Here is a 23,511-nt window from a genome sequence, read left to right on the forward strand (position 1 = left end):
CGCGTTGTGGGCGGTGCCACGGCGCACGCGCATTCCTCCCACAGCTAGTCTATCCGGGTCCTGATCCGGGACTCTGAGATGAAGAGCTGTTGGAGCAGAAGAGTCCTGAGAGAAAAAGACGGAAAATCGTGGAAAGGCGCTGTGGAAAGGAGTAGTGTGGAAAGGAGACCGCGGGGATGAGGAGAGGAGAGAGGCAGGCTGCATCACCGAATGGGCAGCATGTCTTAAAGTACACTGTTTGTCTTAAAGTACACCGTAAAGCCTCTCTTGTGCCTGTTGTTTAGAGCCTGCCCTTTTTGCTTAATGTGTATGGACATCTTTCTAGGCCAGTACTTATAGAGCTACCTCATTCATTTTATTTATTTATTTGTTTGTTTGAGACAGGGTCTGGCTCTGTTGCCTAGGCTGGAGTGCAGTAGCACGATCTGGGCTCACTGCAGCCTCCACATCCCAGGTTCAAGCAATCCCCCTGCCTTAGCCTCCCGAGTTGCTGGGACCACAGACATGTGCTAATTTTTTTATGTTTTGTAGAGACAGGGTCTCGCTATGAACGTTTGTGTCTCCTGAAGTTCATATGTTGAAATTCTACTCCCCCAGGAGGCTGAACAAGAGGGTAAAGCTCTTATAGGAGGGATTAGGTTATTAGGGTGAAACCCTCATGAGTGGAATTAGTGCTCTTATTCAAAAGGCCTGAGAGAGGTCCCTTGTCCCTTCTGCCATGTGAGGTTACAGTGAGATGATGGCTGTGAGATGATGATGAGGAACTGGCCCTCATCAAACACCAGATCTTCTAGTGCCTTGATCTTGGACTTCCTATTTCCACAACTGTGAGAAATGAATTTCTTTTGTTTAAAAGACGCCTAGTCAAAGGTATTTTATCACAGTAGCCTGCACAGACTAAGACAAATAGTTTCTCCATATCTCTACCATAAATTTCTTATATTTCTTTTCAGTGGCACCTGGCTCCATGTCCTGTGTATGTCTGACTCCCAGAGGCCAGAGGTAGGCTCAGAAGGGTGGGGTTAGGGGATGGGTTAGGTCCAGCTGGTAGTTGATGAGGGTGGCCTGAGGGATCCAGACAGGAAGCTCCATGCCATGTTTCTGGTATAAGGCCAAAGATCAGAACTGATGGAGCCAAATCTGTTCTCAGGTAATGGAAGTGAGGTAAATCCAGGAACGGGGGGAACTAGGTAATCAAATCATGTTGTTTTTGTTTTTGTTTTTGAGATGGGGACTCACTCTGTTACCCAGGCTGGAGTGCAGTGGTGCCATCTCAGCTCACTGTAACCTCCACCTTCCAGGCTCAAGTGGTCCTCCCACCTCAGCCTCCTGAGTAGCTGGGACCACAGGTGCATGCCACCATGCCTGGCTAATTTTTGTATTTTTGGTAGAGACGGAATTTCGCCATGTTGCCCAGGCTGGTCTTGAACTCCTGAGCTCAAGCGATCCATCTGCCTTGGCCTTCCAAGGCCACCGCGTCCGGCCATGTCATCAAATAGTTTCAACACAATTGCCAGACACTCATGATAAATATCTGTCATCAACAGGAAAGCATAGTTCAGGAAATTGATTCAAAATTACCTAAATAAAATATGTTACCACTTATATTTTCATTAGACTGATTAACTTTGATCAGTTTCTGTTTTTAAAAACTCAGCTCTTGCTTCCAGACAAGCAAATGGTGTATTTCTTTCAAGCCCCAAATTTACTTTGTCACTGTCTCAAGGTTCATGCCTCTCACATTCATCAGTAGATTTCCCTTGACTATAAAAATCCTTTCCATAAATTCGAAGCAGGAATCAAAACATAATATTGAAGCAGTTTAACAAATATAGAGTGGGAACTTTTTTTGCTGAAATCATATTTCCACTTGTCAAGAGCTGTTGTTCCATGAAGGGAGGTAAACATTACGACTGTGAGATTGAGTGCCTCATTAAGAAAAATGGGAGGAGAGAGCCCTGTTTTCCATGGCGACAAGACTCAGATTTGAATTATTCATTAAATGAAGAATATTTCTTTATGATTAACCAAACTCAGAGGACAGTGTCACAAATTTCCCACAGAAAAGATATTCTTCAGACACTTGACAGTTGAGGGCTCCTGTATTCATGGTTTTGGAAGCAAATGTATGACTCTGTGAATGGGCAAACTGTCTTTGAACTATGTGACTATAATTTATAGAACAAAAACCAGTATCAATTTATTTCCTTGGTAGATTTCAGAGACAAGCTAAATATTTAAAAGAATGTTTTAGGATGGCTAGAGAATGGAAGACATTATCACTAGTCATATGTTTATAAAAGCAAAACACTCCATTGCATAACTCTTTGCTGCCTAGATGGTGGTCGCCATTCTTGTGGACTAACTGAAAGCCATTTGCTGCCTGGCTGCCCCATGCTACTGCAGACCACAGCTCACGGCACTGTTGAGCTGCTTAGATTTGGCTGACTGTGTCAGCGTGTGCGACTGAGCACAGTGGCACTTAACAAAGGCTTAGAAGGGGTGGGGAACATGCTCCTACCAGCCATATCGTGTAAGAATCACACACAAAAAATTCACTCAATTACTATTCATAATAATAGCTAACATTTACTGAGTGCCTACTAACTGCCAGGCGTTGGATATTACTTGACCAAATTCTCACAAAAACTCTATGAGGTATCTCACAGTCATAAAGCCACAGCCACAGCCCCTGGTGCTAACATGCCCCCATACACCCCCATACACTGAGTACTGACTCAGGAGGAAAGACTGAAGCACATTGGCCAAAATGGGCTGCAGAGGCTCTTTCTTCCTGAGAAGCTGGCTGGAGGAGTGGGTACTACCACCCAGAAGTGTGAGAGAGTTCATGTCTAGGGTAGGGTAAACCTTGACCACTGAGAGACAGGAGACAAAAAGAAGCCAGCATTGTTCACCCTTCCTCCCGTGAGAGGCAGTGGCTTCATATGTACTCCGTGGAGATGCCCTGGAAGGCCAGGCAAACATCTCTGTTCGCAGTGAAGCTATGGCCATCTTGGTAGCACATCTCTTTGTTTTTACATCTCCCCTACCTCACTTCTTTTTTCTCGTCATACTTTCTTCCCTGCAATTTCACCAATCAATAAAGCATCCATCACAAAAATGTGCATATTTTTGCTCTAAGCTTTTCTTGAGACTGTAGGCTCAAAAATGCTAGTACCAGGAGTAGTCTTTAAAAGCAGACCTTTAAAAGTGTGATTTTAGAGACTAGCCCACCTATCTAAAGGCAATCAGAACTGTTTCCCCAGTGGTAAACAGGATAGTATAACCCTGCCATGCAGGGGCATGCATGACAATTACTAAGGCTTTCACCTCCAGTTGACTGGGATGAGGTGCAGATAGAAGATAAGGAATTAGGATATTATGTGGCTGCTGTATTTGATCAGTATGGGAGCAATAATAACGGCACAGAGTGGAGAATAGACTGGCTGCTCTTGAGAGCATTGGAAGTCTTGGAAAAAGAAAATGATAGTTTAAAGCAGCATATTGCCAACTAAGTAACAATATGAAAGCCAGAGGAGTTCTGTGGCAGCCATAAAGGAGACTCATCTCTTGCAGCAGTAGGTTAGACACTGTTGAAAACAATGAGAACACTTGGACACAGGGTGGGGAACATCACACACCGGGGCCTGTAGTGGGGTTGGGGGAGGGGGGAGGGATAGCATTAGGAGATATACCTAATGTAAATGATGAGTTAATGGGTTCAGCACACCAACATGGCACATGTAAGCATATGTAACAAACCTGCACATTGTGCACATGTACCCTAGAACTTAAAGTATAATTTTAAAAAATTTAAAAAAATTAGGTTCAGGGCTGGGTGCAGTGGCTCACACCTGTAATCCCAGCACTTTGGGAGGTCGAGGTGGGTGGATCACCTGAGGTCAGGAGTTTAAGAGCAACCTGGCCAACATGGCAAAACCCTGTCTCTACTAAAAATACAAAACTAGCTGAACATGATGGTGCACACCTGTAATCCCAGCTGTTGGGGAGGCTGAGGCAGGAGAATCACCTGAACCGGGAGACAGAGATTGCAGTGAGCCAAGATTGTGCCATTGCACCCCAGCCTGGGCTACAGGAGGGAAACTCTGACTCAAAAAAAAAAACAATAAATAAAAAGAAAAGAAAAGAAATTAGGTTCAGGATCCAGAATGGCAAAGCTGCTAAAGGTATTGAATGCATAGCTTCAACAGCTTTCCCATGTGGAGGTATTTTCCAGAAAAGAAAAATGTGAGGCGTTAAGACCTGAATAAGAAATATGTGAGTGGCAGAGTGACCAGTGAACCCAAGGCATCAGCATCACCTGCTAGACATGCAGAGTCTCAGGCCTCGCCCCAGACCCACTGAATCAGAATATGCATGTTAACAAGATTCCCTGGCCGGGCACCGTGGCTCACGCCTGTAATCTCAGCACTTTGGGAGGCAGAGGCAGGAGGATTGCTTGAGCCTACAAGTTCAGGGCCAGCCTGGGCAACATAGTGGACCCCGTCTGTACAAAAAAATTAAAAAAAAAAATAGCCAGGTGTGGTCCCAGCTGCTTGGGAGGCTGAGGCAGGAGGATCGCTTGAAGCCGGGAGGTTGGGGCTGCAGTGAGCCATGATCATGCCACTGCATTCCAGCCTGGGTGACAGAGCAAGACGCTATCTCAAAAATAAATAAATAAATAAATAAAATATGTGAGTGGATGAGCCTCAAAATCTGGAGCTCCTAATTGTCCCTAAATCTTCCTGGCCAGCAGAAGCAGTCCCTTTTCTTTCTTATTTATTTATTTATAATGCTGTCAGCAAAACCCTTTTCTCTTGACTAAGGAAAACAGCCTCCCCTTGCCCATCCAAAATAGGTCATTGCAGAATAACTTTCGTTCTTCCCAAGATAAGCCTCCATTCTCTGCCTTTTTTGCCTCCAGTCTGGTAATCTGTGCCAGAGCTCAGCACAGCCTGAGCAGGGAAGTACAGGTCCTGCTCCAGAAGGAGTTAGCCTCCATTCCAAAGGAACTGTAGGACCTGGAGAATATGTAAGAACTGAGGACTAAACTCTAATTTTTTTATCTGCCCAAATTCCTACCTAAGGGGTCTAGGGAGTCATGTCCTACAAACCATAAATTCTCATCAGATGGGTTTTGTTTGACCCTATATATCGTGACTTACTTTTCAATCACTCTGGCATAACATTGAGACAAGGAAGAAATATTTAACCCCAAAATATATTTCCTTGCTATACCTTGAAATTGCCCTACAAAGTCTCTTGTGGGAAAAATACATATCCTGTAGAGAATCCCCTTCCCCCTTTGTTTTCTTTCCTTTCTTTCCAGATCCAGGAGATAATCAACTAAGAGCCAGACACCCTTTTAGGTCTGATAAGAAACATTTTATAACCTGCTCTCTCTCTGAAGTCTGCTATCTGCACAATAAAACTTGGTCTCTCCATAATCCTCTTTCTTAACCTGAACATTCCTTTCCATTAATCCCAGGTCTTCAGATAAACTCAACCAATTGTCAACCAGAAAATGTTTAAATCTACCTATACCCTGAAGCCCCCGGTTTGAGTTGTCCCACCATTCTGAACCAAACCAATGTATTTTATTTTATTTTCTTTCTTTCTTTTTTTTTTTTTTTTGAGATGGAGTTTTGCTCTGTCACCCAGGCTGGAGTGCAGTGGCGTGATCACAGCTCACTGCAGCCTCAGCCTCCTGGGTTCAAGCGATTCTCCTGCCTCAGCCTCCCAAGTAGCTGGGATTACAGGTGCACGCCACCAAGCCTGGCTAATTTTTGTATATTTAGTAGAGCTGGGGTTTTGCCATGTTGGTCAGGCTGGTCTCAAACTCCTGACCTCAGGTGTTCTGCCCGCCTCAGCCTCCCATAGTGTTGGGATTACAGGCATGAGCCACCATGCCCAGCCCAATATATTTCTTAAATGTATTTGATTGATGTATCATGCCCCCCTAAAAATATATAAAACCAAGCTGTACCCCAACCACCTTGGGTACGTGTTCTTAGGACCTCCTGAGGGCTGTGTCACAGGCCATGATCACTCATATTTGGCTCAGAATAAACCTCTTAAAATATTTTACAGAGTTTGACTCTTTGTCAACAGAATCAGGGTAATGTAGGTGGGAGTAGATCTTGAAAATGTAAGACTGGGGAGAGAGAGAGAGTGAGTGCATAAAATAAGGTTTTATAAGAGAGAATTCATTACCTGAGGGCATACATTCATGAGTGGTTATCCAGTGTTTTGGCAAGAGCACTTGAGGTCACTATAAATAGTTTGTTGTGCTGTTTCCTTGAAGCTTGGACACACCAGAAATAATCTTGGCATTGTACTGGAGAAGGGATCAAAAGTCATAGGAAAATGAGAACGTTAGAATATATTTACTATGTATTAAGACCTGCTAACCCGCCACCTGTCTATATACTCCAAGAGCCCAGGGAACTTCCTTATACTAAGGAATAAGAAATACATTGGTGAAAGGAGCCCTGTCAAGGCCAAGAGTGGGGGATACTGCCATGGAACACGGATCTCTAGTATCAAAAGGGTTGATGGAATTCCAGAATACCAGAAGCCAAATAACACTCAACTAACAGAGCAAAGGTAAATACAATTACCATAATGGGCAGCAATGCCAGTACGACAATCAAGGTGCCTTGACCCATAAATATTTTTGGCAACAATTAGTAGATTTGAGTATTCCTAGGGTTGAGACAGATGGACAGCCATGTAGGATATTACTTAATTTATAAAATAAATGCATGAATTGGTAAGCAGAAGGCTGACATCAGCCATCACAATGGAACATTGGTTTCCCTCAGCTAGTTTCCAAGTCTAAGTCAGTTTAGAAACCCATAGCCCATTGATTGAAGGGGAGGCTGAGTCCACTTGAGAAGGAAACTCCAAAACTACCATAAGTATATACATCAGTATTTTTAGAATCCCTCTCTAAAAGGACAAGTGACATTTTTCAAAGACAACCATAAGTATATACATCAGTATTTTTAGAATCCCTCTCTAAAAGGACAAGTGACATTTTTCAAAGACAACTACACTGGGTAAAGAAGAATACCTAGATGTTCTGAGAGCTGGTATTGGGGACCTGAAATGTTATCATGCCCTGTAGTTAGATTGGTGGTTTCCTAAGTCCAGGTGATGAATAGACCCCCTGGCTCAAGATTATATCACAATGTATCCAGAGGTTTTGCGAACTGGCCTTAAGTTTTTGTCCCTGGTTTCTGAAAGTATAATTGAGACAGATACACTTAGAATCTGGGAAAACTGTCACTTTGGTTTTCTGACCTGTGAAATAAACTTCTTTATGGTAGGAAAGGCCAAATAGAAGCCCCCAAGCCACCTCCTGCCTCTGGTTAAGATACTAAATCAGAAGTATTACCATATCCCAAGAGGAATTGCAGAGATTAGCACCAACATCAAAGACTCAAAGTGGGCTCATGGCTGTAATCCTAGCACTTTGGGAGGCCAAGGTGGGAGGACTGCTTGATCCCAGGGGTTCAAGACCAACTTGGACAACATAAGGAGACCTCATCTCTACAAAAATTAAAAAATTAATCAGGAGTGATGGCACGCACCTGTGGTCCCAGCTACTTGGGAGGCTGAGGTGGAAGGATCACTTGAGCCCAGGAGGTTGAGGCTGCAGTAAGCCATGATTATGCCACTGAACCCCAGCCTGGACAACAGAATGAGACCCTGTCAAAAAAAAAAAAAGACGTAAAAGTGTCCAGAGTTCGTCTTCCAGTCACATTCCCATTCAGTTAGATAGACAGTGCAGCGGAAGTGTGCTGGGCACAGATTCCCATTCAATTCAATTATTTTCAAAAGCACAGATAAATAATGGAGGATGGTAACAGACTACCATAAACTTAACTGAGTCATTGCCTCAGTTGCAGTTCCTATAATATCTTTATTAGAGCAAATCAACACACCTTCTGGTATTTGATACGTGGCTGTTGATTTGATAAATGCTTTATTTTCAATCATGGGTTGGCTAACTTTTCCTATAAAAGGCAAGACAGTAAATATTTTAGGCTTTGCATGCCATCTGATCTCTGTTGCACCTGCTCCATTTAGCTTGATTTTGTGTCAAAGCAGCAAAATACAACATGTAAATGAATGAGCATGGCTGTGTTCCAATAAAATTTTATTTACAGAAACAGTTGGAGTGTCATATTTGGCCTGGAGGTTGTAGTTTGCCAGTCCCTGTTAGAGAGCCCCATCAATTGGGAGAGGCAAAAGCATTACTTGACAAGAAGAGCAGTACACTTGACTGTCTTGCCTCTGGCCTATGTTAACTCTCCTGATCTCTGTCAAAGTATAGTCAATGGGAATTTTGACCGTCTTGGTAGCTCACAGCACAGTATGGTAGTTTCATCATTCTGATTACATTATGCTAATTGGGTCTGAGAAGCAGGATGCATCAAGCACTTTACATGCTTTTGACACATTTGCTTCTGAGATTGTGGTTATGTTTTCTTCTCTGCTTTTTTTTTTTTGAGACATAATCTCGCTCTGTTGCCCAGGCTGGAGTGCAGTGGTGCATTCTCAGCTCACTGCAACCTCCACCTCCTGAGTTAAACGATTCTCCTGCCTCAGCCTCCCGAGTAGCTGGGATTACAGGCGCGTGCCACAATGCCTGGCTAATTTTTGTATTTTTAGTAGAGATGGGTTTCACCATGTTGGCCAGGCTGGTCTCGAACTCTTGATCTCAAGTGATCCACCTGTCTCGGCCTCCCAAAGTGCTGAGATTACAGGTGTGAGCCTCTGTGCCCAGACTCTTCTCTGCTTTCAGTTGCTAAAAATGACAATTTTATACTGACAGGGATAGGAATTAGAAGTTACAACTTTTATAGCCAATTACTGCTTTAGCTTTAAGTCTCAGCCAAAATTCCTTAGAAAACAAGGCCTGCAGCAAATGATTATATGCTAATACTTTATGTGGAGTACCATGCCAGAGAAGCAAGGGAAAATAGAAGTATGGCAAGGAAGCAGGGAAAACAAAAAGTGTTAGATCCCGTGTACACACACTTACCAGTCCTCATTTCATCTGGCATCTCTGCAGCGCAACCCTTCCTGCAACCCCTTCCTTCTTGAAATGTATGTCTGTTTCCTTTACATACACTTTCTTACCTCCCACCTCTCTGGCTGCCTGTTTTCTGCTTGCTTCATTAGCTCGTTTTTCTCCACTTGCTCCTTACATGCTGAGTATTTACAGGTATTTTGTCCATGGCCTTTTCTCATGGTAGAGAAACCCCATCTCTACTAAAAATACAAAACTTAGCTGGTCTTGATTCACAAAGCAACTCAGAAGGCTTACATTGTTCTCTTAAGCTCCTGACCCATAGTTCCAATAGTTTACTAAACATTTCCACCTGCGTGTTCCAATGATATTTCAAACTAAGTGTGTCCATAATCAAATTCAAATAAACATACACTGAGCACTAGCCTATGCTGTCAGCTCTAAGTTAAGTTGGAGGAATACAAAGACAAATAACTTCACACTTCTTCCCCAGACGTGTTCCTCCTTCTGCATACCCTGTGTTTTTTTTTCTTTATTTTCAGAGACAGGTCTCCTTCTGTCGCCCAGGCTGGAGTGCAGTGGAATGATCATAGATCACTGCAGCCTCAAACTCAAGCAATCCTCCTGATGCTGCTTCCCACCACGCTGGCCAATTTTTTCTTTATTATGTGTAGAGACGGGGTCCTACTACGCTGCCTAGGATTGGCCTTACACAATCCTTCCAACTTGGCCTCCCAGTGTGGGCGTGGGCCACTGTCCCAGCATACCCTATGTTTTGTAAATAGTATCAGCATTCCCAGTGACCCTGGAAAAGTACTTTTGATCATCCCACCTCTCTTTTCCCCCGGAATCCTATTGATTCTTTCTCTTAACATCTATTCCCTCTGCCTCCTCTCCTCATCCTTTTGCCCCTGGATCATCACAGGTGCTTCCTAATTGGCCTTCAGTCCATGTCTCACACCACTGCCACCAGCTTGACCCTTCTAAGAACAAATCTGGTTATCTCAATGCCTTGCTTAAAACTCTTCAATGACATCCCATTGCCTATAGGGTAATTCTAATCTCTTAGGCTTGTCAGATAAGGTTCTTTAAGACGTGGCATCTGTAGATCTTTCCAGGACTTCCTTTTACCATCCCTATATTCTCCCTGCTTTCTAAAAACATTGTATTATGCTACTGTGTTCAAAATGCTAGGCTGTTTCCTCTGCCAGAGATGCTCTGAAGCTCTCTGCCATTCTTCTCTCACATGTCTTCTTAGCAAACTTTTCCTTCTTTTCAGCTCCCTCATTTCAGCTCACAGGAGTCACAGCTCCAGCCACAACTTCTCTGGAATTCTGGTTCTAGTTCTTTACTAGGAGACAGTGTGGAATAGTGGAAAGAAGCCCTGACTTTAATCTGGTGGCATGGGACTTAAAATCCTCACTCTCCCACCTTCTGGTGGCCTTACTCTTTTCTCCATTAGAAAACTGTGCTAATGGCCTGGTGTGGTGGCTCACACCTGTAATCCCAGCACTCTGGGAGGCCGAGGTGGGTGGATGACGAGGTCAAGAGATGCAGACCATCCTGGCCAACATGGTGAAACCCCATCTCTACTAAAAATACAAAAATTAGCTGGGTGTGGTGGCGCACACCTGTAGTCCCAGCTACCTGGTAGGAGGAGGTTGCAGTGAGCCGAGATCATGCCACTGCACTTCAGCCTGGCAATAGAGCAAGACTCCATCTCAAAAAAAAAAAAAAAAAAGAAAAGAAAAGAAAAGAAAACTGTGGTGGTAACACTTGCCTGGGAGGGAGGCTGTGAGGATGAGTAGCATCCTATGGTGAAGCTCCTGGTAGAAGGTGCTGCAGAAAAAGTAACTTTTTTTTTCAGTTGTGAAATTCACTTAGACTTATGAGCATCATCTCAAAGTCAATTTTTCTTTCTTCCCAAAGCAATTCCTCCTCTAGACATGTCTCTTTCCATCAGTAGCTCTGTCATTCTTTTAGCCATCCCTGCTGAAAACCTGCCGTATTGGATTCTTTTTTTAACCAGCTAGATCCTTTCCTTTTTCTTTCCTTTTGCCACCACTCTAATCATTTTTTTTTTTTTTTTTGAGACGGACTTTCTCTCTTTTTGCCCAGCCTGGCGTGCAATGCTGCTATCTCGGCTCACTGCAATCTCCACCTCCTGGGTTCAAGCAATTCTCCTGCCTCAGCCTCCTGAGTAGCTGGAACAACAGGCATGCACCACCCTGCCTGGCTAATTTTTGCATTTTTAGTAGAGATGGGGTTTCACCATGTTGGCCAGGCTGGTCTTGAACTCCTGACTTCAGGTGATCTGCCCACCTCGGCCTCCCAAAGTGCTGGGATTACAGATGTGAGCCACCATGCCTGGCTCACCACTCTAGTCTTATTTTTCAGAGTGTGTGTGTGTGTGTGTGTGTGTGTGTGTGTGTGTGTGTGTGTGTGATGGAGTTTTGCTCTTATTGCCCAGGCTGGAGTGCAATGGCACTATCTCGGCTCGCTGCAACCTCTTCCTCCCTGGTTCAAGCAATTCTCCTGCCTCAGCCTCCCAAGTAGTTGGGATTACAGGCATGCACCACCACACCCAGCTAACTTTTTGTATTTTTAGTAGAGACGGGGTTTCTCCATGTTGGTCGGGCTGGTCTCAAACTCCCAACCTCAGGTGATCTGCTCGCCTCGGCCTCCCAAAGCGCTGGGATTACAGGTGTGAGCCACTGCGCCCAGCCTTTTCAGAATTTTATACAGGACAATTGCCAGTGTCTTCTGGCTAGTCTGAAACACCATTTTATTAATGTCACTCCCTTGTGCCAAAATCCTCAATGAGTCCTTACTAACCGTGGAATAAAGTCTAAACTCCTTAGCATATATTAAAAACCTCCACAATCCACAACCTACAGTAGCCAGATTTAGCAAATAAAAATACAGAATTTCCAGTTAATTTTGAATTTTAGATAAAGAAATACATAGTTTTTAGTATGTTACATGCAACATTTGGGACATACTTAAACTAATACATTATTTGCTGTTTATCTGAAATTCAAATTTAACTGGGCATCCTGTATTTCATCTGGCAAACCCATTTGACCTTAACCTCTCTTTCTGGTCCTATAACTCAATACTCTCCATGGACCTCAGCTACTCTTGGTCTATCCTCAGGTCTCATGTTTCTTGTTGCATGTATTTTTGCTGTGGGTGCCCAAGAAGAAAAAGCACAGCCTCTGGGATCAGAAAGATCTGAGTTTGAATCTCAGCTCTCTAGCTTACTAACTCTATGACTTGGGCAAGTAATTTAACTCTTCTAATCTCAGTTTTCTCTTCTGTAAAATATGAACCCTGACATAACTGACATAAGAGACATAAGACATATGACATAACTGACATAAAAGAAAGTGGTTGTGAGGATCAGATGAGCTATTCAAAACCTAGGACTGTTGAGGCCTAGTGTATGTATTCAACACGTGAGTTCATTGTCATCATTGCTAGCATTTTTGAAAAGCAGACCTATGTCACCTCTTTCAGTCCTTGGTGATACAGTTGACCATGATTTGCCAAGAAGCAATGTGGTCTGGGTTAAATTTAGAAGTCATGAAGGCTGGAATGGAGGTCATCTCTCCTGGGTGTGCTTGCCTTACCAGGTCAAGCTTTCTGGCAGCAGGAGTGAAACAAGCTGTGCAGCGGGGAGGATCCAGGGACAAGGAGCCGAGGGGGTCTCCCAACACTGGGAGCCATCCTGCCTCCACTGGCCAAGGTTCCTCTATCCTACAAAATCTTTTCTCTTTACCTAACTCCTCTCAAGCCATAGCCCATCACTCTCTTTGTTTGCTTAAGACCAAATGTCTTTAGAAAGTGGTCACACCCTTGCTGTTTCCATTTCTACATGTGAAGCTCAGTTTACACCCCAGTAACTCTTTGAAACCGTGCTTTCAACCCTCTTTAGTTACCTCCTGGTTGTTGGATTCAGTGTATTCTTTATTGATGTTGGAAATGCTGACCGCTCGTCTTTTTTTTTTTTTTTTTATTGATCATTCTTGGGTGTTTCTCGCAGAGAGGGATTTGGCAGGGTCATAGGACAATAGTGGAGGGAAGGTCAGCAGATAAACAAGTGAACAAAGGTCTCTGGTTTTCCTAGGCAGAAGACCCTGCGGCCTTCCGCAGTGTTTGTGTCCCTGGGTACTTGAGATTAGGGAGTGGTGATGACTCTTAACCAGCATGCTGCCTTCAAGCATCTGTTTAGCAAAGCACATCTTGCACCGCCCTTAATCCATTTAACCCTGAGTGGACACAGCACATGTTTCAGAGAGCACAGGGTTGGGGGTAAGGTCACAGATCAACAGGATCCCAAGGCAGAAGAATTTTTCTTAGTACAGAACAAAATGAAAAGTCTCCCATGTCTACTTCTTTCTACACAGACACGGCAACCATCCGATTTCTCAATCTTTTCCCCACCATTCCCCCCTTTCTATTCCGCAAAACCGCCATTGTCATCATGGCCCGTTCTCAATGAGCTGTTGGATACACCTCCCAGACGGGGTGGTGGCCGGGCACAGGGGCTCCTCACTTCCCAGTAGGGGCGGCTGGGCAGAGGCGCCCCTCACCTCCCGGACGGGGCGGCTGGCCGGGTGGGGGGCTGATCCCCCCACCTCCCTCCCGGATGGGGCGGCTGGCCGGGCGGGGGGCTGACCCCCCCCACCTCCCTCCCGGATGAGGTGGCTGCCGGGCGGAGACGCTCCTCACTTCCCAGACGGGGTGGCTGCCAGGCGGAGGGGCTCCTCACTTCTCAGACGGGGCGGTTGCCAGGCGGAGGGTCTCCTCACTTCTCAGATGGGGCGGCTGAGCAGAGACGCTCCTCACCTCCCAGATGGGGTCGCGGCCGGGCAGAGGCGCTCCTCACATCCCAGACGGAGCGGCGGGGCAGAGGCACTCCCCACATCTCAGACGATGGGCGGCCGGGCAGAGACGCTCCTCACTTCCTAGATGGGATGGCAGCCGGGAAGAGGCGCGCCTCACTTCCTAGATGGGATGGCGGCCGGGCAGAGATGCTCCTCACTTTCCAGACTGGGCAGCCAGGCAGAGGGGCTCCTCACGTCCCAGACGATGGGCGGCCGGGCAGAGACGCTCCTCACTTCCAAGACGGGGTGGCGGCCGGGCAGAGGCTGCACTCTCGGCATTTTGGGAGGCCAAGGCAGGCAGCTGGGAGGTGGACGTTGTAGCGAGCCGAGATCACGCCACTGCACTCCAGCCTGGGCACCATTGAGCACTGAGTGAACGAGACTCCGTCTGCAATCCCGGCACCTCTGGAGGCCGAGGCTGGCGGATCACTCGCGGTTAGGAGCTGGAGACCAGCCCGGCCAACACAGCGAAACCCCGTCTCCACCAAAAAAATACGAAAACCAGTCAGGCGTGGCGGCGCGCGCCTGCAATCGCAGGCACTCGGCAGGCTGAGGCAGGAGAATCAGGCAGGGAGGTTGCAGTGAGCCGAGATGGCAGCAGTACAGTCCAGCTTCGGCTCGGCATCAGAGGGAGACCGTGGAAAGAGAGGGAGAGGGAGACCGTGGGGAGAGGGAGAGGCAGAGGGAGAGGGAGAGGCAGAGGGAGAGGCAGAGAGGCAGAGAGGCAGAGAGGCAGAGAGGCAGAGGCAGAGGCAGAGGCAGAGCTATTTTTTTATTTTTTTGAGACAAAGTCTCGCTCTGTCACCAAGGCTGGAGTGCAGTGGCATGGTCTTTGCTCACTGCAACCTCCCGCTCGTCTTCATATGTAAACCTTATGGCATTGTCCTCTTCTGGTTCTCCTCCTACTTCTCCGACTGCTCTTTTAAGTGTCTTCTGGCTGCCCCTTCCATATGACTCTCCTGAGCAGGATGGTCGTAGAGTGTGGAAGCCTAGCTCCTCTTGCTCAAAAGTCCATTGAAATAATGAATAAAGTACACATACAGAGGAAAATAATTTATTGCTACAGAAAACCAAGGTTGAAATCATATATAAACTAGAAATCTGGGGGGATTTCTTCCAGCAGTAATGATGGGCCAGGATTGAAAAGAGCCAGTGAGGGCGCGTACCACCCTCCTTCTTGAGCAAGGACAACTTATCTAGAAAGTAAGTGGCAAAACTCCCTGGCCGACCCCACTGCCACTCTCTAACTCAGAGAGGCAAGGACAGTGTTACTCTGGCAGAGAGGAGGGTGAGGTGTGTTGAGGGGCCTGCTGAGAGGCCCACCACAAGAAGTACCTTCTGAGTAGCTAACTCAATTTTTAAGATGAAAGCCCATGAAATAAATAAAACTGCAAAGCATAAACTTGATTTTGACAAAGCCTGGGGAGTGATTCCCTGACAGGGGTAGAATTGAAGGAAGTGGTTTTTACTGCACACTTTACAGAACTTCTTATTGGTGTAATGTGGGGTATGAAAGGGAAAATAAATTTTTGTTCATGAAGTCATTGCTGAAGGCTTTCCCTAGCTGCTTAGCTTACTAATACGGTCTCATTGCTTTGTATCATTCTGAACCACCATGCATTCCATTCCCTTTTCATTGTAGCACTTCTCTAGAGGGCACCATCTTTTGCCAGTCCCTAGGTGGAAAAGACTTTGGAGTTTAAGCATACCACCATGCGTAAGACTGGTCCATTTCCTCAGCATTCCTCATTCAGGCTACCTTTTTGTTGGCAAAGCTAGTGACTTCCCATTCTACAATCAATTCACCAATATCTCTAATAGAAAATGTTAATGTTTGGTTTTGGTTCGCTGTATCCTAACAATGAAAACTTCCTCAACAATATTTAAAATTGTCTGTGGATCCTACCTGAATTAGGTTTGAAATAATAAACATTACCATGTCAAATAAAATCTTAACATTTTAATTCCTCATAGTCATTCTATAAATTGTATGACGTAATGTGGTATAGCAAAGAATAGCACTTGTGGAGAAAAACTCTATTTCTAGACATTTTGAGGGTGAGCTGAAATTCTTGCAACTACAGAATCATTTGAAAGGAGTGTATAAACTTAATGGACAGTCCCCCCACTCCCACATTTACACAGCTGTTACATATCTCTTTAACTATTAATATTGAAACAAAAATACTTTCTATTTACAAACTTCTGGGGTATCCTGCTCTTTAAAATTCTTCACTATGGTTTAGTATTAAATAGTCATGTCTTTTTCCTTATTTATTTTTTATTTTTTTGAGATGGAGTTTTGCTCTTGTTACCCAAGCTGGAGTGCAATGGCACGATCTTGGCTCACCACAACCTCTGCCTCCCAGGTTCAAGCGATTCTCCTGCTTCAGCCTCCTGAGTAGCTGGGATTACAGGTATGTGCCACCATGCCTGGCTAATTTTGTATTTTTAGTAGAGATGGTGTTTCTCCTTGTTAGTCAGGCTGGTCTTGAACTCCCGACCACAGGTGATCCACCTGCCTTGGCCTCCCAAAGTGCTGGGATTACAGGTGTGAGCCACTGCACCAAGCCATCTTTTTCCATTTTAATAAGAGATCATTTAATAATTTTTCTATTAATAATTTTTCTATTAATATTTTAGCAAATAAATTTTAAAAATGATTTCAAAAGAATACTCACATCCTCTATGTTTACTCAGTCTGTTTTGCATTATTGTAAAGGAATACCTGAGGTAATTTATAAGGAGAAGAGGTTTATTTGGCCCACTGTTCTGCAGGCTGTACAAGAAGCATGGTACCAGCATCTACTTCCGGCCAGGACCTCAGGAGGCTTCCAACCATGCTGGAGGTGAAAGGGGAGCAGGCGTGTCACATGGTGAGGGAGGGAACAAGAGAGGGGACAGGAGTGCCATGCTCTTTTAAACAATCAGCTCTCCTGTGAGCTAATAGAGAACTCACTCATTACAGTGAGGATGACGCCAATTTGGTCATGAGGAATCCACCTTCCTGACTCAAACGTCTCCCACCAGGCCCCAACTCTAACACTGGAGATCAATTTCAATATGAGATTTGGAGAGAACAAATATCCAAACTATATCACCACTTCATCATTCAACCCACCAAGCTCAGAGAACACAGCACCAAAACAAAAAAAAACCCTTTGATCCTCTTCCTCATCCTTCTCCCCCATCTCCCATGTCTTTGAAACCTGACTCAAAGAAAGAGGGAAGCCTCAGTAATTTGCTTCTTGAATTATAGCCATGTTCATCCTAGGCTTCCGGAGACAGTGGTTATAGTGGGTTTGCAGCACACTCACTGGAGCCAGACTGATATGGTTTGGATCTGTTCCCCACCCAGATCTCATCTTGAATTGTATTCCCATAATTCCCACATGTTGTGGGAGGGACCCAGTGGGAGATAAGTGGAATCATGGGAGCAGTTTCTCCCATAATGTTCTCATGGTAGTGAATAAGTCTCATGAGATCTGATGGTTTTATCAGGGGTTTCCGCTTTTGCATCTTCCTCATTTTCTCTTGCCACCACCATGTAAGAAGTGCCTTTTGCCTCCCACCATGATTCTGAGGCCTTGCCAGCCTTGTGGAAATGTAAGTCCAATTAAACCTCTTTTTCTTCCCAGTCTTGGGTATGTCTTTATCAGCAGCGTGAAAATGGACTAATACAGTAAATTGGTACCAGTTGAGTGGGGTGTTGTTGAAAAGATACCCAAAAATGTGGAAGCGACTTTGGAACTGGGTAATAGCCAGAGGTTGGAACAGTTTGGAGGGCTCAAAGAAGACAGGAAAAATGTGAGAAAGTTTGGAACGTCCTAGAGATGTGTTGAATGACTTTGACAAAAATGCTGATAGTGATATGAACAATAAGGTCCAGGCTAAGGTGGTCTCAGATAGAGATGAGGAACTCGTTGGGAACTGGAGCAAATGTGACTCTTGTTATGTTTTAGCAAAGGGACTGGTGGCATTTTGCCTCTGCCCTAGGGATATGTGGAACTTTGAACTTGAGAGAGATGATTTAGGGCATCTAGTGGAAGAAATTTCTAAGCAGCAAAGCATTCAAGATGTGACTTGGGTGCTGTTAAAGGCATTCAGTTTTAAAAGGGAAGCAGAGCATAAAAGTTCAGGAAATTTGCAGCCTGACAGTGCGATAGAAAAGAATCCTAGCTGGGCGCGGCAACTCACACCTGTAATCCCAGCACTTTGGGAGGCTGAGGTGGGCAGATCCCTTGAGGTCAGGAATTCTAGACTACCCTGGCCAACATGGTGAAACCCCGTCTCTACTAAAAATACAAAAATTAGCCAGGCATGGTGGCTCACACCTGTAATCCCAGCTACTCAGGAGGCTGAGGCAAGAGAATCACTTGAACCCAGGAGATGGAGGTGGCAGTAAGCCAAGATTGCACCATTGCACTCCAGGCTGGGCAACAGAGTGAGACTCCATCAAAAAAAAAAAAAAAAAGAAAGAAAATCCCATTTTCTGAGGAGGAATTCAAGCAGATATTTGTAAATTCAAGCAGATATTTGCATAAGTAATGAGGAGTCAAATGTTAATCCCCAAGATGATGGGGAAAATGTCTCCAGAGCATGTCAGAGACCTTTGCAGCAGCCTCTCCCATCAAAGACCCAGAGGTCTAGGAGGAAAAAATGGTTTTATGGGCAGGGCCCAGGGTCCCTGTGCTGTGTGCAGTCTATGGACTTGGTGCCCTGCATCCCAGCTGCTCCAGCCATGGCTGAAAAGGGCCAACATAGAGCTCAGGCCGTGGCTTCAGAGGGTGCAAGCCCCAAGCCTTGGCAGCTTCCATGTGGTGTTGAGCCTGCAGGTGCACAGAAGTGAAGAATTGGGGTTTGGGAACCTCTGACTAGATTTCAGAAGATGTATGGAAATGACTGGATGCCCAGGCAGAAGTCTGCTGCAGGGGTGGGGCCCTCATGGAGAACCTCTGCTAGGGCAGCACAGAAGGGAAATGTGGGGTTGGAGCCCCCACAGAGTCCCTACTGGGTCACCACATAGTGGAGCTGTGAGAAGACGTCCACCATCCTCCAGACCCCAGAATAGTAGATCCACTGACAACTTGCACTGTGCTCCTGGAAAAACCACAGACACTCAATGCTGGCCCATGAAATCAGCCAGGAGGGAGGCTGTACCCTGCAAAATCACAGGGATGAAGCAGCCCAAAACCATGGGAACCCACCTCTTACATCAGTGTGACCTGGATGTGAGACCTGGAGTCAAAGGAGATCATTTTGGAGCTTTATTTTTAATTAATTAATTAATTTATTTATTTATTTAATTTTTGAGATGAAGTTTCACTCTTGTTGCCCAGGCTGGAGTACAGTGGTGCGATCTCAGCTCACTGCAACCTCTGCCTCCTAGGTTCAAGCAATTCTCCTGCCTCAGCCTCCTGAGTAGCTGAGATTACAGGCACCCACCACCATGCCTGGCTAATTTTTGAATTTTTAGTAGAGACAGGGTTTCACCATGTTGGCCAGGCTGGTCTTGAACTCCTGACCTCAGATGATCCACCTGCCTTGGCCTTCCAAAGTGCTGAAATTACAGGCATGATCCACTGTGCCTGGCTATTTTGGAGCTTTAAAATTTGACTGCCCCGCTGGATTTTGAACTTGCATGGGCCCTGTAACTCCTTTGTTTTGGCCAATTTATCCCATTTGGAATGGCTGTATTTACCCAATACCTGTACCCCCATTGTATCCAGGAAGTAACTAGCTTGCTTTTGATTTTACAAACTCACAGACAGAAGGGACTTGCCTTGTTTCAGATGAAACTTTGGACTGTGGACTTTTGGGTTAGTGCTGAAATGCGTTAAGACCTTGGGGGACTGTTGGGAAGGCATGATTGGTTTTGAAAAGTGAGGACATGAGATTTGGAGGGGCCAGGGGCAGAATGATGTGGTTTTGCTCTGTGTTCTCACACAAATGTCAACTTGAACTATGCTCCCATAATTCTCATGTGTTATGGGAGGGACCCAGTGGGAGATAATTGGAATCATGCGGGCAGTTTTCCCCATACTGTTCTCATGGTAGTGAATAAGTCTCATGAGATCTAATGATTTTATCAGGGGTTTCTGCTTTTGCATCTTTCTCATCTTGTCTTGCTGCTGCCATGTAAGAAGTGCCTTTCACCACTCACCATGATTCTGAGGCCTCCCCAGCCATGTGGAACTTAAAGTCCATTTAAACCTCTTTTTCTTCCCAGTCTTGGGTAAGTCTTTATAAGCAGCATGAAAATGGACTAATACGCAGACTACCTGGATTCTAACCCTAACTGCCATTTAATAGCCATTATCAATAGCTGATATTAGGCAAGATACTTAGCCTCTCTGTAACTCAGTTTTCTCACCTGTAAAACAGGGATAATATGTACCCACCCCACAGGGTCATCATAAAAAATCAGTCTATAATAGTGGCTGTCGCACAGTTAGTTTGGAGTGTTAGCCACTGCCATTATTACCATGGAGCTCAGTCTTTGGCTACAAATTAATTTGTTGGGCTTATTTAAAAGTTTGGCCCAAACACATGAACAAAGAGGAAATTTGGAGAGGAAGGGCTGAATTTCTAATTCTGCCTTAGTCTCCTATTTATTTATTTTAATTTAATTTAATTTTTTTTTTTTGAGACAGGGTCTTGCTCTGTAGCCAAGGCTGGAGTACAGTGGAATGATCTCAGCTCATTGCAGCCTCAACCTCCTGGGCTCAAGCAACCTCCTGTCTCAGTCTCCTGAGTAGCTGAGATTACAGGCCTGTGCCACCATGCCTGGTTAATTTTTTATTTTTGTAGAGATAGATCTTGCTCTGTCACCCAGGCTGGAGTGGAGTGGCATGATCATTGCTCACTGCAGCCTCGACTTCCTGGGCTCAAATGATCCTCCCACCTTGGCCTCCTGAGTAGCTGGGATAGACTACAGGCATGCACCACGACCTCCAGCTAATTGTTTGAAAATATGTTTTAGACATGGGGACTCACTATGTTGCCCAGGCTGGCTTCCAACTCCTGGACTCAAGTTATCCTCCCCTCTCAGCCTCCCAAAGTGCTGAGATTACAGATGTGAACCACCATGTCCAGCTCAGTCTCCTATTTAAAGCAAATCTGGGAGCAGCTCTCCTCAACGGGAAACAGAATGATCAGAAAAGTGAAAGTAACGTGTGTTGAGACCTTAGCAAGCACCAGGTGCCATGCATATCTTACATACAGTCTTCAAAAACCTAAGCTTTACATACTGTTATTATCTACTTCTTACGGAGGAAACAAGCGAAGAGTGATGAGCTTGCTAATAAATGGTGGAGCTGGCATTTGATCCCAGGAGCTCTGGCTTTAAAACCCACCTGTTTAACCAAGAGTGGCAGGGATTTTTTTTTAAAATGAAACACACCACTGTTCCTATTTCTTAAGTCTAAGCCTCTTTATATTTTTTGGAAATTCAAATATCTATACTCCTTATGAATAGCACATAAATCTACTTCCCCATCTTAAGCTCATCCCCTCTGGCTGGTCCAATAGAGTACTTTAGTTTCAAGAAAAATTTATATTTTGAGCTTCCCTGCTAAACTAGGAGTTAAAGAATGCTGACCTTAAAGCCTTGGCTGTAGCAGTAGATTTTGCCATGACTGTTGTGGAATAGGCTACTAGGCAGGGATGGGAAGAATTTGGGATGTAAAGCTGGAAATTACTGGGATATCAATGGCTGGCACTTCTGGGTTTTATGTCTTGTATTCCCTACTACTCAAGGCCCCCAATCTTCAGTCTATGTTAGGCATTCACTGTCTTCCTTCCTATCTCTTAATATAATGTCTTTCCTGTAGGTCCTGATCCTTAGGATGATTTTTCTCTTCTAGTCTATGCTGTATCCATTTCAAGCCAAGATATCACTTTTAACTTTCTAGGTTCTCAGGAAAGCAGGCTTCTTCCCTATCTCTATTTTGTCTAGGTTTCCTGCCCTTTAGCATCGCAGTGAAATTTTTAAAATAACAGTTACGAGTTTCATCTATTCAGTCAGCATTCCCAGAGTACTGCTCACAAAAAATTTTTTGATTTGCTTTTTTTGTGATTGTGTATACTCTATCTTTTTTACTTGTTAGTGTCCATATCCATTTTTATTTTCAGGGTGAAATTCTCAGTGTTATACACCCTTGTTTTGTTTTGGCTTTGTATTTGAATTTGCTTCACTCTATTTTTCTCTACTTTTAAGGCTTTAAAAAAATAGGTCCTTCGGCATTTTCTTCACTCTTTTTTTTTTAATTGACATGACATTCGTAGCATAATATTAATCATTTTATTTTTTGAGGCAAGGTCTCTCTCTGTCACTCAGGCTGGAGTGTAGTGGGGCCATAGCTCATTATAGCCTCAACATCCCAGGCTCAAGCAATCCTCCTGCCTCAGCCCTAGAGTAGCTGGTACCACAGTTGTGTGCCACTATGTGCTAACTTTTGTATTTTCTGTAGAGACAGGGTTTCGCCACATTGCCCAGGCTGGTCTTGGACTCCTGAGCTCAAGGGATCCTCCCATCTTGGCTTCCCAAAGTGCTGGGATTGTAGACATGAGCCACCGCACCCGGCCATATTAATCATTTTAAAGTATACAATTCAGTGGCGTTTAGAACACTCACAATGTGTACCACCTCTATATAGTTTCAAAACATTTTCATTAGCCCAAAGGACAACGCTTTACCCATTAAGCAGTCACTCCTCATTCTACCCTCTTTTAGCCCCTGGAACAACTAATCTGCTTTCTATCTGTACAGATTTTTCTATTCTGAATATTACATATAAATGAAACCCACATATGACCTTTGTGTCTGATTTATTCTACTTAGCATAATGTTTTCAAGGTACCTGCATGTTGTAGCATGTATCAGTCCTTTGTTCCTTTTTATGGCTGAATAATATTCTATTATATGCATATGTCACATTTTATTTATTCATTCATTCTTTTATGGACATGTGGTTTGTTCCCATCTTTTGGCTATTGTGAATAGTGTTGCTGTGAACATTCATGTACACGTATTTGTTTAAGTATCTGTTGTCAATTCTTTGCAGTATATACCTTGAAGTACAATTGCTGGGTCATAGGGTAATTCCCTGTTTGATTTTTTGAGAAACCACCAAACGGTTTTTAACAATGGTTGCACCATTTTATATTCCATCAGCAATGTACAAGAGTTCCAATTTCTCTAATTCCTTAGCAATACTTACTGTTTTCTTTTTGTTGTTGTTGTTGTTGTTGTTTGGTTTTGGTTTTCTAATTATAGCAATCCTAGTGGGTTTGAAGTGGTATCTCATTGTGGTTTTGATTTACATTTCCCTAATGACGAATGACATTGAGCATCTTTTTATGTGGTTGTTGCTCACTGGTATATCTTCTTTGAAGAAATATCTACTTAAGCACTCTGCCCATTTTTAAACTGAGTTGCTTGTTTTTTTCTGTTGAGCTGTAAGAGTTTTAAAAAATATATTTTTGATACCAGGCACTTAGCAAATATATGAGTTGCAAATGTCCCATTCTTTAGGTTGTCTTTTCACTTTCTTGGTAATGTCCTGACATAAAAGTTTTAAA

At 44.3% G+C, this 23,511-nt stretch overlaps 1 annotated feature.

Annotated features, from left to right (window-relative positions):
- Positions 89-268: an enhancer, noted in NCBI's record as "active region_9355". NCBI's record gives its function as "activates an Ori minimal core promoter by ATAC-STARR-seq in GM12878 lymphoblastoid cells {active_cell/tissue: GM12878}" and the evidence as "EXISTENCE:reporter gene assay evidence [ECO:0000049][PMID:35858748]".

Source organism: Homo sapiens, chromosome 15, assembly GCF_000001405.40.
Source record: "Homo sapiens chromosome 15, GRCh38.p14 Primary Assembly".
Lineage (NCBI taxonomy): Eukaryota > Metazoa > Chordata > Mammalia > Primates > Hominidae > Homo > Homo sapiens.